Source organism: Homo sapiens, chromosome 18, assembly GCF_000001405.40.
Source record: "Homo sapiens chromosome 18, GRCh38.p14 Primary Assembly".
Taxonomy (NCBI): Eukaryota; Metazoa; Chordata; class Mammalia; order Primates; family Hominidae; genus Homo; species Homo sapiens.
The window spans coordinates 3,079,022-3,093,093 of record NC_000018.10 but is presented as its reverse complement, the minus strand read 5'-3'; the positions used below and the strand labels follow the sequence as shown (position 1 = coordinate 3,093,093).

The 14,072-nt window shown below is 40.8% G+C and overlaps 1 protein-coding gene across 6 annotated transcripts in view; it reads left to right on the top strand.

The window, feature by feature from the left end:
• Positions 1 to 14,072, top strand: part of MYOM1 (myomesin 1) — a 180,570-nt gene that overhangs the window by 154,283 nt on the left and 12,215 nt on the right. For all 6 annotated transcript variants that reach the window (XM_047437910.1, XM_047437911.1, XM_017026062.2 and 3 more), the window contains 8 exons: positions 2,292 to 2,436; positions 3,498 to 3,557; positions 3,853 to 3,920; positions 6,943 to 7,056; positions 7,962 to 8,049; positions 9,067 to 9,105; positions 9,200 to 9,305; positions 13,752 to 13,915. In XM_047437910.1, coding sequence (XP_047293866.1) covers positions 2,292 to 2,436; positions 3,498 to 3,557; positions 3,853 to 3,920; positions 6,943 to 7,056; positions 7,962 to 8,049; positions 9,067 to 9,105; positions 9,200 to 9,305; positions 13,752 to 13,915 — 784 coding nt within the window. The remainder of the gene's footprint in view (positions 1 to 2,291; positions 2,437 to 3,497; positions 3,558 to 3,852; positions 3,921 to 6,942; positions 7,057 to 7,961; positions 8,050 to 9,066; positions 9,106 to 9,199; positions 9,306 to 13,751; positions 13,916 to 14,072) is intronic.

Sequence of the window (14,072 nt, the reverse complement as noted above, 5' to 3'; positions counted from 1 at the left end):
AGAACAAGTCACTCCTGACTCCTGTGTCCACTGCGACCCGTCTCCTCTCCACTTTCAAAATGTTCCCTCGACTGCTGTGATCACCACCTGGTCAGGGGAGAGGAAGGAAAAGTGTTGTTGGCCTCACTCATCACCCCACAGCCATTGAGTGAACATTCATGCATATGTGCATATAGACGTACTCCCCTTCACGTGTTCAAGCGTGCATACATGTTGCCTTGAGGGTATGCAGCTGCTCTCTTAAGTTTCTTAGAAAGAGAGTCTGAAGTAGTTTCTCGTTCAAGTGATTTATTGTTGGGGAGCAGGATAGGATGGGGGGATGCTAAGCAAAAATGTGGTCTCAGTTGGAGACTGACTTCCTGCAGGTGAGGCTCGGGAGCATGAATTGCATCACAGAGTTCATCCCAGACCTGAGCCTTCATTCTGTGACATTTTATATATAGCAAAAGTTAACCAATTCAAATCCATCATGGTATTTGTGCTTGCATGCCTAGCAACTAAAACTTATCTTTACATTCTGGGAAAAAAAAAAGTTGTCTAAACAATATGATAAAATAAGTATAGTCTAATAGGGCTATTTCCATTCATTAAGAGCAAATAGGGCCAGTCATGGTGGCTCACACGTGTAATCCCAGCACTTTGGGAGGCCAAGGCAGGGGAATTACTTGAGGCTCAGAGTTTGAAACCAGCTTGGGCAACATAGTGAAACCTCATCTCTACAAAAAATTTTTAAAAATTGGTGAGGCATAGTGGTGTGTGCCTGTAGTCCTAGCCTCAAGATCCTGAGGCCTGAGGCTTCAGTCCAGGAGTTCGAGGCTGCAGTGAGCTATGATTGCACCACTGCACTCCAGCCTGGGCATCAGAGCGAGACCCTATCTCTAAAAAGAGAGAGTAAACACATTTAGAAGCATTTTTTTTCATGTATTAGTTCAGCAGATATTTATTAATTGACTACTATATACCATGTATGTGCAAGATGCCAAGGAGATAGCGATGAATGAGCAAGATACCTGCCTCTGCTGCCTATAGTTTTACATTATTCTACTCATTAAAAATAATGTAGGCCGGGAGCAGTGGCTTATGCCTGTAATCCCAGCACTTTGGGAGGCCGAGGTGGGCAGATCACTTGAGGTCAGGACTTCAAGACCAGCCTGGCCATCATGGTAAAACTCTGTCTCTACTAAAAATACAAAAATCAGCTGGGTATGGTGGCACACGCCTGTAGTCCCAGCTACTCAGGAGGCTGAGGCAGCAGAATCACTTGAACCTGGGAGGCCGAGGTTGCAATTAGCCAAGATTGCACCACTGCACTCCAGCCTGGGCGACAGAACAAGAATCCGTCTCTAAATAAATAAATAAATAAATAATGTAATCTGGAAGGTAATGTGAGAGTCTAAAGACAACTTTTTGACATTTTGTGACTTGGGGTAACAAAACTTTATTTAGATTTAAGAAACTAAATTTCAGACTTTTTAGTAATCTATTCTGGTCTAGGTCATAAACTCCACATAATATTTCCCTTTACCTGGGTATAAGAATATAAAGCACTTGTTCAGTTATGAAGAGATTTTATTTAAATTATTATTCTAATTTTTAATGTTTAATTTTTTTTTTTTAGACATGGTCTCCTTCTGTTGCTCAGGCTGGAGTGCAGTGGCACAATCATGGCTCACTGTAGCCTTGACCTCCTGGGTTCAAGAGATCCTCCCATCTGAGTGGCTGGGATTAAAGGTGCACACCACCATGCCCAACCAATTTTTCAATGTTTTTTTTTTTTTAGACAGAGTTTTGCTCTTGTTGCCCAGGCTGGAGTGCAATGGTGCGATCTCGGCTCACTGCAACCTCTGCCTCCTAGGTTCAAGCAATTCTCCTGGCTCAGCCTCCCAGGTAGCTGGGATTACAGGCGCATCCCACCACACCAGGCTAATTTTTGTGTTTTTAGTAGAGACGGGGTTTCATCATATTGGTCAGGCTGGTCTCGAACTCCTGACCTCAGGTGATCTGCCCACCTCAGCCTCCCAAAGTGCTGGGATTACAGGCGTGAGCCACTGTGCCTAGCCTATTTTTCTATTTTTATATAGACAAGGTCTCGCTTTGCTGCTCAGGCTGTTCTCAAACTTCTGGCCTCAAGTAATCCTCCCACCTCGACCTCCCAAAGTACTGGGATTACAGGCATGAACAGGCACTGCATCTAGCCTTTGGGGTTTATTTTTATTTCATCAAGCTTGTTGTCATTCCAAGTAAAATATATGCCTCAGTGATTTCTCTGTCATTTTCTTTTCACACTGAAGAAATATAAAATGCATATTGACCGAAACACTGGCATCATCGAAATGTTCATGGAAAAGCTACAGGATGAGGATGAGGGAACGTACACTTTCCAGCTTCAAGATGGAAAAGCAACTAACCATTCTACTGTTGTTCTCGTTGGAGATGGTAAGAATTCCGTGGAACATTAACCAGCAGGCTTTGCTACTCCCTTCAATCTAAGTACCCCATGGCACAAAAGTTGTTATTTGAAAGGTAGTAGGAATTTTTTCTTAATTGACTTCTAATGTTCAAAATACAATTTTCAGCTGGGCGCGGTGGCTCATGCCTATAATCCCAGCACTTTGAGAGGCCGAGGCGGGTGGATCACCTAAGGTCAAGAGTTTAAGACCAGCCTGGCCAACATGGTGAAACCCCGCCTCTATTAAAAATACAAAAATTAGCCAGGCATGGTGGTGTGCACCTGTAGTCCCAGCTACTTGGGAGGCTGAGGCATGAGAATCATTTGAACCCGGGAAGCAGAGATTGCAGTGAGCCAAGATCGCACCACTGCACTCCAGCCTGGGGGACAGAGTGAGACCCTGTCTCAAAAAAAAAAAAAAAAAAAATACAGTTTTCAGTTAATACTTTACATGGTATTTTATTTCATGGAAATGAAAGTGAATTTAAAGGAACACCAAATTTATTCCTAGCTCACAGGCAAGACTGCGTTTAAATACTTTCATATATAAACAAATGTTTATTGCTAAAATTCTCCAGTGAGGGAGATTGCAATACAACAAAGACTGTATGTGTCTCAGAAACAAACCATGAGACTGTTTTGCCACGTGTACTTACTGTAAATTACTAAAATTGAGAAGAAAAATATGCAAAAGTAGTGCCTGCCGAATCTACTAATCATACATTGTAACTGGATTGTAGTAAATCAGCTGCTCACTTACTACCACCCAGATTTAAAATGTGGCAGTTACGAAGGCAATGGAAAGGCCGGCCAGATCTCTGTATTTGCAACATCCAATATTATGTCACTGTTTCCTAGCTTTATGACCTTGTACAATTTATTTAACCTTCCTAAGCCTATTTCTTCATCTATAAAGATAAAAAATGAGCAGGGTTGTCACAATGTATGAGTGTTACAATAATGAATATAAATCACTTAGTGCAGTGGCTGACATGTGCATTTATACCACCCAACTCAATTTCACACTTCCTTGTTTTTCAATTTGTAGTTTTCAAAAAGCTCCAGAAAGAAGCTGAATTCCAGCGGCAAGAATGGATCAGGAAACAAGGTAAAAATAGGCCGTGGATAAAGAGAAAATTTTTAATTTTTTTGTACAAAAGATTCCAAGGTTATTTCCATAACAAATTAAAATGAATATTATTGATTATGTTAATAATGCCTAGTAAATTAAAATAATTAAAAATATTTACTGTTAAATATGTAGACATTAAAATATTTAAAAGCTAAATCTAGAATTTTAAAAATCTGACTTCAGATGTAAATCACCTTAGGACTTAAGTGTGAGCTTTGATTTTGCATTTGTGATTAATAGAGTAATTGCTAATGTCATTAAAATTTTATAGGTCCTCACTTTGTTGAGTATTTGAGCTGGGAAGTGACTGGTGAATGTAATGTACTATTGAAATGCAAGGTAAGAGGTAGATAAATTTTTAATATTTGATTCAAGGGAAATAAAATAGAATGTAGAGAAGAGGAAGCTCAATTTTTCATCTCTTCCATCTGAGCCAAAATGATAAGTGGGACACATATTTACTGTTCAATGTTACTGTAACCATTTGTTGATAAGAAAGATTTAAAATAAAATGACATAAAATATGACAAGGCAAGGTGATCATTCCTAGTCACTACTCATGATCTAGTTAGTAACACCCTAGACTTTTATCTAATTAGTAATCTCCAAAGACTCTCACGTTTTTGTTTTAAGCCAAATCTGTATTCTAAGTCATAGACCTATTCCAGAATCACTCCAGCTGCAATGTTTCGTGGACCTTGCCATGTAAATTGTGAGGCTGGTGCAACAATACCCCTGGGTATTCCCCAGCTGTGCCACTGACTCCAAGGGAGACATGTGGAAAAGAGTTGGCAGCTCACAACCAATTGTCTTATTAGGACTTTGGAAAGATTCAGGAAAAAAAAATTCTATACAGCATTCTAAACAAGTTTGTACTTTAGCATGTGGTGTGTAGCTGAGTCATCAGAAATGTTTTGGGTAAGGAACCGGTGGGTGAGGTTGGAGCGTGAAGGTCCTGCTGGCTGACAAGGACAGGTGGAAGCATAGGTGTGGCATTTGGTCTGGATTTCACAATTGTCATGATAAAAGCCAGAACCCAAGTGCCCCAGTGTCTACTAGATGTGATAAACTCAAAGAAACAGCAGTCTATCAGAAATACATATAAGGAAAATCAGTTCTAGGTTTTAGCCTCACAGGAAATGGCAACGCTGCTTGAAAAACTCTTTCTCTGGCAGCAGCTGAAGCCCTCACCTTCTCTCTCATCCCAGCTGCTCCGTCTTGCTGTCCCACTCACTTCTTCATTTGCGTGGCCCCTCCCTATAAGCTATCCTTTTTCAAAAGCCCACACATCCCTCGCCTTCTGCGCTTGCTGTTTCCCTCTGCACCAGAGGAGCTCTGGTGTCCTGTGATGGCCTTCCTCAGGACAATCAGCCCCATACCCAGATTCTGAGCAACCAAGGGCAGTCTGGAAATGGATTGTGAATATTCACACAGTTCTGTTATGCTGTCGTTCCAATGCCTGGAATGACGTTCTTTCAGCTTCTCTGACAAAATCCTTTCCCAGGCCCAGCTCAGTCATCTCTAGAAGGCCTCCCGCTTCCTCTGTCTTCGCATAGCTCTTTGTTCCGTTACTGTGGCAATTCCTGTAAATTTAGCCACTCACGTGTCGCATTACAGTTCATGGAGTATGCGCAGCGAATCATTCAGACTCACTGGAGTATCGTGGGTCTTGCTTGGCGCTAGTCTACTCAAAAAAAAAAATAAATAAATAAAAAGTAGGAGGGGCAGGGAGCGGTGGCTCATGCCTGTAATCCCAGCACTTTGGGAGGCCAAAGCAGGCAGATCACTTGAGGTCAGGACTTCAAGACCAGCCTGGCCAACATGGTGAAACCCCGTCTCTACTAAAAATACAAAAATTAGCTGGGCATGGTGGCAGGCACCTGTGGTTCCAGCTAGTTGGCAGGCTGAGGCAGGAGAATCACTTGAACCCGGGAGGCTGAGGTTGCAGTGAGCCGAGATCATGCCACTGCACTCCAGCCTGGGTGATAGAGTGAGACTCTGTCTCAAAAAAAAAAAAAAAAAAAGAACGTAGGAGGAACCCTAGCTTGCACACTGGGACCTTCCTCTCCCTCAGGAGTCCACATGTGGAGCTATGACCTTTGCCATCCCGGACAACAGAAAGCTCAGATGCAAGGAGACAAGATCCACTTTGGGCAGGTGCAGGAAGTCACCACGGCTTTAAAAAAAAAAAAAGCCCAAAAAAACTTCATGCCCTGAGGAACTAGTATCTTTTCTAACAACTGCCTAAACAGAGCTTCTGGGATCCACACAAGGGATGTGTCCAAATTTCATGAGCAATGTACTCAGCAAAGCCCAAAGCTGCGGAGTGCATTTCTAGTCCTCTGGGTCCAGACACAGCTTTCCAATCGAGGTCATTTTTATCGTAAGCAATGTCAGCTGGTAACACACTTTCTACAATTCAGGAACCAGTTTCCAGGGTCATAAAGAATGATTGTGTGTAGTGGTTTCACTACAGTTGCCAGGGTGGTTCCTATGTTTATTTATTAGCTGAAATTGTTTCACATTTTAAAACCTGTATATTGTCACGTATAATGAGACAACATTGTCTTTGTCTGTTGGTTTTATGGTTGTATTTTCTCTTTGGGGAATGGTATGTAGTTTTCACCCATTATTCAGTGGGGTCTTTGAGACGGTTTTCTTGATTTGTAGGAAGTCTTTACTTTTTCATACAATTTGAATTATACAAGAAATACATGAGTATATTCTCCTTTGTAAAAAAAATTCAAGCATTGTAGATGAAACTCAAGATCCCTTTAACCATATGCAGTTGTTTAGTCCATTTGAAATAGATGATATGATGAGAAGATTAGTGTATCTAAGTGAGTCTCCTCGAAATTGCTAAGTAATTAATTTACTTAGCATACCTCCCCTCCACATATATTTGCAATGCTTCATTTATCTTTCATTAAACTTTTAGATATAGATTGGCGCTTACTCATTCTGTTCCTTTAATAAAGCCATTTGTTTTTGTAACACAGCCTGTATTTTAATCTGATGGGATTTTTCTCCCTTTGGTTTTGTGACTTCTATTTTCATTTAAGTTTGTATGTCAGTATGAATGTATCTATTCTCTCTTTTCTTTCCTACCACATGATTTTAGAGTCAATTTTCACTGCTGGAAATAGAGATGCTATTGATTTAGGTTTATTCATTGGTGTCCACTTGATTCTAAACTCTTTTCTCAATTAAAATAGTTTTCAATTCATTCCTTTAGAAATCTGTGTCTTCTCACTCCACGTTCAGTGCTTTTTCTTTTATATCTTGCTGCATTAAGAACTATTCAACTTCACAAGAGTACACTTTCTTATTTTAAGAAAAGTAATTATGGTTTTTCTCCTAGGTGGCAAATATTAAGAAGGAGACTCATATTGTGTGGTACAAAGATGAGAGGGAGATATCAGTGGATGAAAAGCATGACTTTAAGGATGGTATATGTACCCTGCTTATAACAGAGGTAGGCGATTATAAATGTAAAATGTAATATATTAGCTCTCTACCCTCTATCTTACCCCAAAACAGTAACTAGATTCTGTATTCCTTTCATGACCAGGGGATTTATATTAGCTTACTTCCAACTGCTGTAGGAACACAAAAGCTTCTCTAACCTTGTGATGTGTGTGGATTTGTTAGGTAGCAAACCAGTATGAGCTGAATGCCACAACTCTTGCTTTTCTGAGTTGCTTTTATCCATATATGGGCAGTGAAGTGGATCATTCTTCATTTGTGCTTAAGCCTCGTGGTCCTAAAAGTACAGAGACATCAGACATGGTATTCATTTAAGGATAGATTTTTATCTACTTCTTGTCTAAAAGAGCACAGCATTTAAATATATCACTATAAAACTAGTGATCACTAGTTTTTAATAAATGAAGGCAGAGTAAAAAGTAAGGACATTAAGCCTCATATCAATTACAGCCTTGGAAGGTAAAAAGTCAGGACTGCTAGCTCGCTGGTCAAATTATTATGGAGAGGTGCATCTCTGCATCTGTGAACGGTTCACCACTCACAAGTTAGATGCTTGTTCAAAGAGTGTTTTGATGGCAATTCTGTAAATCAAGGGCCTTTAAAAATGCAGATAGCAGGTGAGGTGCAGTGGCTCACACCTGTAATCCCAGTGCTTTTGGTAGGTCAAGGCTTGAGGCCAGGCGTTCAAGGATACAGTGAGCTATAATCACACATCTGCACTCCAGCCTGGCTGATAGAGTGAGACCCTTGTCTCAAAAAAAAAAAAAAAAAAAAAAAAAAAAAAAAAAAAAAAAAAAGCAGCAGCAGCAGAAGAAGCAGAAGAAAAAAAAAAATCACAGATACCGTGCCCTGGGGCTACGAAAGGTGCAATGTGGTATATCTATTCCCCCTTAGTTTTCCAAGAAAGATGCTGGGATTTATGAAGTTATCCTGAAAGATGACCGAGGAAAAGATAAGAGCAGACTGAAGCTTGTGGATGAAGGTCAGTCCACCAACTGCTGGGGTCTGTCTTGTGTGTTTCTGCATACAGCTTACCAGAATGATGATTGAGGCCGAGCTGACGATTGAAATCATGCTGATTTTTTTTGTCCACAGATTTTGGCTTAATTGAAATTCCAACAGAGTGAACTGTTTTATTCAAAAATACCTCACTTCTAGTCATCTTCGAAATCAGAAGTGTATTTTTGATCCTTAGAGAATTTATAGTCCAGAGTCCACAAGGGATCTGTTTTCAATTTAAATCATTTTTGTTTCAACTCTATAAAAATGTTCCAGGCTCAAAAACTTCTGTGAGAAGCATGACAAAAAATAGTCCACTCTAAAGGTAGCAAGCAAGATTTATATATGAAATGTGAAGCCTTGCAGTTTTTAGCACAGCAAGAAAGCAAATTCCATTTTTCAGAGACTACTAAGGACAAATATATCATGATGATGAAAATCTACATGGGAACTCCAAACTTACAATTTTGTTCCTGAACAAGATTTTTAAAACAATATTGCTAACAAACAGCAGAAGTCTGACTAATTTCACCTTCCTACTTTGGGTGGAAGTGGGGCTAAATGTGTTTATTGGCAAAAAGCATTATCAGGCTGATGAAGGCCAGGAGACCTACATGGTTAATTCATTATGAATCGATGACACGGCTAAGAAAATGTCCTCTAATGTAAACTAAGGCTTCCTGGGAATTAAGAAGAAAGAGAATCCCAAAGCCAAGAACCTTCCTAGAAATCTCTTGTGGCCCTTTCTCTAGAATGTAAATATGGCGATTGTGACAAAGAATTCAAGGGAAAAAAAATCAAAATAAGCAGGGATCTTTTAAAACCTGATAAAATTGAACTATTTCCTCAAAGAATACTCATTATCAGTGGGTCGACAAATTCACCTTGTTTCCATTTCCTTTCAACCAGAAAGGGAATTTTTGAGAGCTAAGAATTTGAGATTTAACCTTACATTGAGAATTTTTATGCTAAAGTTTTGGCTCTGAATCTCTCTCCACAGCCTTTAAGGAACTGATGATGGAAGTATGCAAAAAAATAGGTGAGTCAAACATTTCGCACCACAACAATGCTTTATGATCCTCCTGCCAGGAGGGGCATGCAGATGTATGAAATATGCTATTTTCTTCTTTCAGCTTTGTCTGCTACAGACCTGAAAATCCAGAGCACAGCCGAGGGCATCCAACTGTACTCTTTTGTAACTTACTATGTGGAGGATTTGAAAGTTAACTGGTCCCACAAGTAAGTAAATGAGAACTTACTTGCTGTGTAGAAATTCTTTCCCTGCCAGGCGCGGCAGCTCACACCTGTAATCCCAGCACTTTGGGAGGCCGAGGCAGGTGGATCATTTGAGGTCAGGAGTTCGAGACCAGCCTGGCCAACATGGTGAAACCCTGTCTATACTAAAAATACAAAAAAAAAAAAAAAAAAAAAATGAGCTGGGCGCAGTGGCAGACACCTGTAATCTGAGCTACTGGGGAGGCTGAGGCATGAGAATTGCTTGAACCCAGGAGGCGGATGTTGCAGTGAGCCGAGATTGCACCACTGTACTTCAGCCTGGGTGTCAGAGTGAGACACTGTCTCAAAAAAAAAAAAAAAAAAAGAAAAAGAAAAAGAAAAAAGAAAAGAAAGAAAGAAAAAGAAATTCTTTCCCCACTGGAAGAGGGGAGGATAGGGAAAAAATTTTTCTGTTCTTCTCAAGTAAGGAGTCTTCTTAATTCTCAAGTCTGACATTGGTGAGCCCAGGAGATAAACATCCAAGGCATTCTGTTACTGTGAGGTTAGCTCTTTCCCTCAACATGTACATGCTGAGGCCAGTCATAGTTACAGTACATCTTTCTTTGTGATTTAAGAAGTACCATAATTCATAGACATCTCTATAATGCAGCCTCCACCTCCAGACAGTCATGCTTGGGCTCTCTCTGCTGTGCCAGGCATCTGGAGCCACATTCTTACCTTTCTTTCTATACACACGGTTAACACATCTGTGGTCTGGAACAGAAATGAAGCAGTGTGCACCAGGAGGCACCAAATTTCCCATGATATGAATGAATGGGCATTCACCAAAGAAGCCTAATCCAACGAGTGCCCAAGATTATTGTTGTTGTTATAGCATCTGGCAGAGTGAGACATTAGCATGTTTCTGGTCCACTCTCAGAAGGCTTTGGAGATCTCAAGTTGACTTTGGGGAAGGTGAGTTTGAACCTCTGTGCAGTTATACAGGGACTCTATTCAAGTTCACTTCTGGGATTCCAAGAGCTGAAATCAGTTTCCAAATCAAACCAGGCCTCCCATTTACACTCTTGACAGTGTCCTTAACCTCTGTGTTTCCTTGAAATATCCTGAGCTGAAAGAGAACGGAGGCCTGGCAAAGATAATCCAATGGAATGTAGCCACATTCAGTCCAACTTCAGGATGCAAATGTTCCAAACTGCAAATGTTCCTAGGAGCCCCACTGAGAAGAAGGTCACATGGCATCCCCAGGAGGGTGCAGATAATAAGTTTCCTTACACTGTACCCTCAGTGGCATTGACAATATGGGGGGCACTGCTCAAAGCCCTTTACATATGTGAATTCATTTCACATTCACCATTCTACATGGTAGGTGCTCCTCACTTGAGGGATGAGGGAGCTAGGGCTCGGGGAGGTGACCGGCCTAAGGTCACACAGCTAAGAGGTAGGTCAAGGCTGAGCCTAGGCAGCCTGGCTCCAGAGCCCGGTTCATCATGGTACTACCTGCCACTGGATTCCAGCCGTGTGAAGTCTAGATTAGAGATCCCCAAACCCCAGGCCATGGACCGGTACCAGTCCGTGGCCTACTAGGAGCTGGGCCGTGTAACAGGAGGTGAGTGGTGGGCGAGGGAGCGAGCATGACCACCTGAGCTCCGCCTCCTGTCAGATCAGCTGCGGCATTAGATTCTCATAGGAGCGCGAACCCTATTGTGAACTGCGCATGCGAGGGATCTAGGTTGTGCGCTCCTTATAAGAATCTGATGATAAATGTTATGTGCTTGAGTCATCCCCAAACCCACCCCCGACCTGGTCTGTGGAAAAATCGTCTTCCATGAAACCGGTCCCTGGTGCCAAAAAGGTTGGGGACCACTGGGCTAGATTGAACAGTTAGCCAGAGCCAGGCCCCACAAAGCAGCCATTTGTGTTTTCTTTAAGATGACTTTACTGTTATATAAAACAGTGTTTTCGTTAGTATTATGATTTATTATTTCCTGAGTCATAAAAATGAGAATTAGTAAAATTCCAATGTAGAATGCTTGGGGCTTATTCCTTTGTTCTGTTTCTTTCAGAATACATTTTAGGAAAGTAATTATTAGCTAAAATAGATCAAATTCCAGGAAATTCCTCTGTGGCATCTAGGACATTCTAATATATCAGTCTGAAGAATGAGAGAAGTAAAATTCATTGAATCATCAATCAAAAAGCTTTATATCTTCTCTAAAAGAATTAACTTGTTCAAAAATGAGAACACTGAAAGTATGTTTTGAGGAAATTGCTATTAGGCCAGCAAAGCATAAGTATCTTAATTATTTGGTCTAGTCAATCAATTATGTCTCTTGTGTTTCCGTGTACCTATGACATTCAGGGATAAGGATGGTCTTTGCTGTCTGTATGTGGCATAGAGGGGAAAAAAACCCTTGAAACGGATTTTAGTCTTCACTTTGTTCCTATCTTGCCTTATGATCTTAGACAGGTCATTTAATTTTCTGAATCTCAGTTTTCTCTTATATAAAATAGGACCAATAGTACCTATTCCATCGGAAGCACATTACAGATGTAAGGTACCCTTATTCATGTTACCCAGAGATTAAAGATTTAAAACAGATTTATTATAGCAAAGCAGAGGACAATCTTTCTGTTTAACTCTCTCTCTTTTTTTTTTTTTTTGAGACGGAGTCTCACTCTGTCACCCAGGCTGGAGTGCAGTGGCGTGATCCCGGCTCACTGCAACCTCTGCCTCCAGGGTCAAGCAATTCTCCTGCCTCAGCTTCCCAAATAGCTGGGATTACAAGCGTGTGCCACCATGCCTGGCTAATTTTTGTATTTTTAGTAAAGACGAGGTTTCACCATGCTGGCCAGGCTGGTTTCAAACTCCTGACTTCGTGATCCACCTGCCTCGGCCTCCCAAAGTACTGGGATTACAGGCGTGAGCCACCACGCCCGGCCCTGTTTAACTCTCTAAGACACATCTATTGCTCATGCCAAAATCTGTCTTTACATTTTATGGCATCTTTATTTTTAATATCTTTTTAGATAAATAATGTTATTTAAAAAATGTAATATTATTAAAAATGCTAAATATTAGAAAGCTAAAAGCTTTTAGGTAGGAAATTTTTTTTTTTTTGAGATGGAGCCTCACTTTGTCACCCAGGCTGGAGTGCAATGGCGTGATCTCGGTTCATTGCAACCTCCGCCTCCCGGGTTCAAGCGATTCTCCTGCCTCAGCCTCCTGAGTAGCTGGGACTACAGGCACATGCCACCATGCCCAGCTAGTATTTGTGTTTTTAGTAGAGACAGGGTTTCACCATGTTGGCCAGGCTGGTCTGGAACTCCTGACCTCAGGTGATCCGCCTGCCTCCGCTTCCCAAAGTGCTGGGATTACAGGTGTGAGCCACCGTGACCAGCCAGAAAATTTGTTTTTCTATGTTTTCCAAAGTTCATTTTGTTTATTACAACAGACGTAAGACATGCTTGTTTCAGAAAATACATTTATAATAATATAAATTAGAAAAAACTATAATATAATAGTATCCATAGTTTTACCAGCCATAATATGAACATTTTAGGGTACTTCCTGCTAGCCTTTTTTCTATGCATGATGGTTACTATAATAACGTCATTTTATATACCACTTTTTAACGTCATTTTGTATGCCACTTTTTAAACATTTCCTCAGTTTTAATAACTTCTTCATAAAGTTTCTTTTAACATAATTAAAAGTACATCTACCTAGCTTTCTCTTAGTTCGTCTATATCTGTAGTATTTCTACACCAAGATCACACAAAAAAGGGTTGTATTTCCTAATATTCTCTTGCAGAGAATATATTGCATGGGTCTGCTCATGACCTACTGTAGAATTCTGAGAAACTCACATCCCGGGACAGAGAACATGCCTCATTCGTGTTGGCGGCAACTCTGCTTTTCATTCACTCTTGGCTCTACTACCAAGTGCATATTTATCTGTTTTAAATAGCTTTCTAACAACATATGTCAATAGATGTCAGGCACAGATGAGCCTCCATAAGTGTGTTTTTGGACTAGCTTGTAGAATCTGATTTATAGCCATAGATTATCTAGATGAAATATGCAGTAAAATAGTATGTAGTTTGGCCTTTTAGCTTTATAGATTACCCTAGTCCTACAAATAAACCCAAACAAAAACAAAGATAATTAATGCCACCGAGAAGTATTAGTATTGTGATTTGCACTGGGCCTCAGACTGCTATGAGGAGTTATTAACAAATAAATGTTCAGACTGTCACACCTTGGGCCCTGGAATCCCGGTTCTGTGTGTCATGGCCCATAATTTTTCTGAAGCAGAAGAATAACATATGCAGATCCCTCGTTTTTTGAAAGCCTACAAAACTTTATGGCAAGAGCTTCAATGAGAGACAAAGTAAAGATCAGCCCTGGATGGAAGCAAATGCTAAGGAAGTTTTCTTCGATTTTCACAGTGGGTCCGCCATTAGGTACTCAGACAGAGTTAAGACCGGGGTCACTGGAGAGCAGATCTGGCTACAAATCAACGAGCCCACCCCGAATGACAAAGGGAAGTATGTCATGGAGCTCTTTGATGGCAAAACTGGACATCAGAAGACAGTGGATCTCTCTGGACAAGGTAAACAGATATTTTGCAGATTCAAATTTACTCTAGATGAATGAGCCTTTTAAAAGGAATGAAGGGAGTTGGGCATGGTGGCTTATGCCTGTAATCCCAACACCTTGAGAGGCCAAGGCAGGAGGATGACTTGAAGTCAGGAGTTCAAGACCAGCCT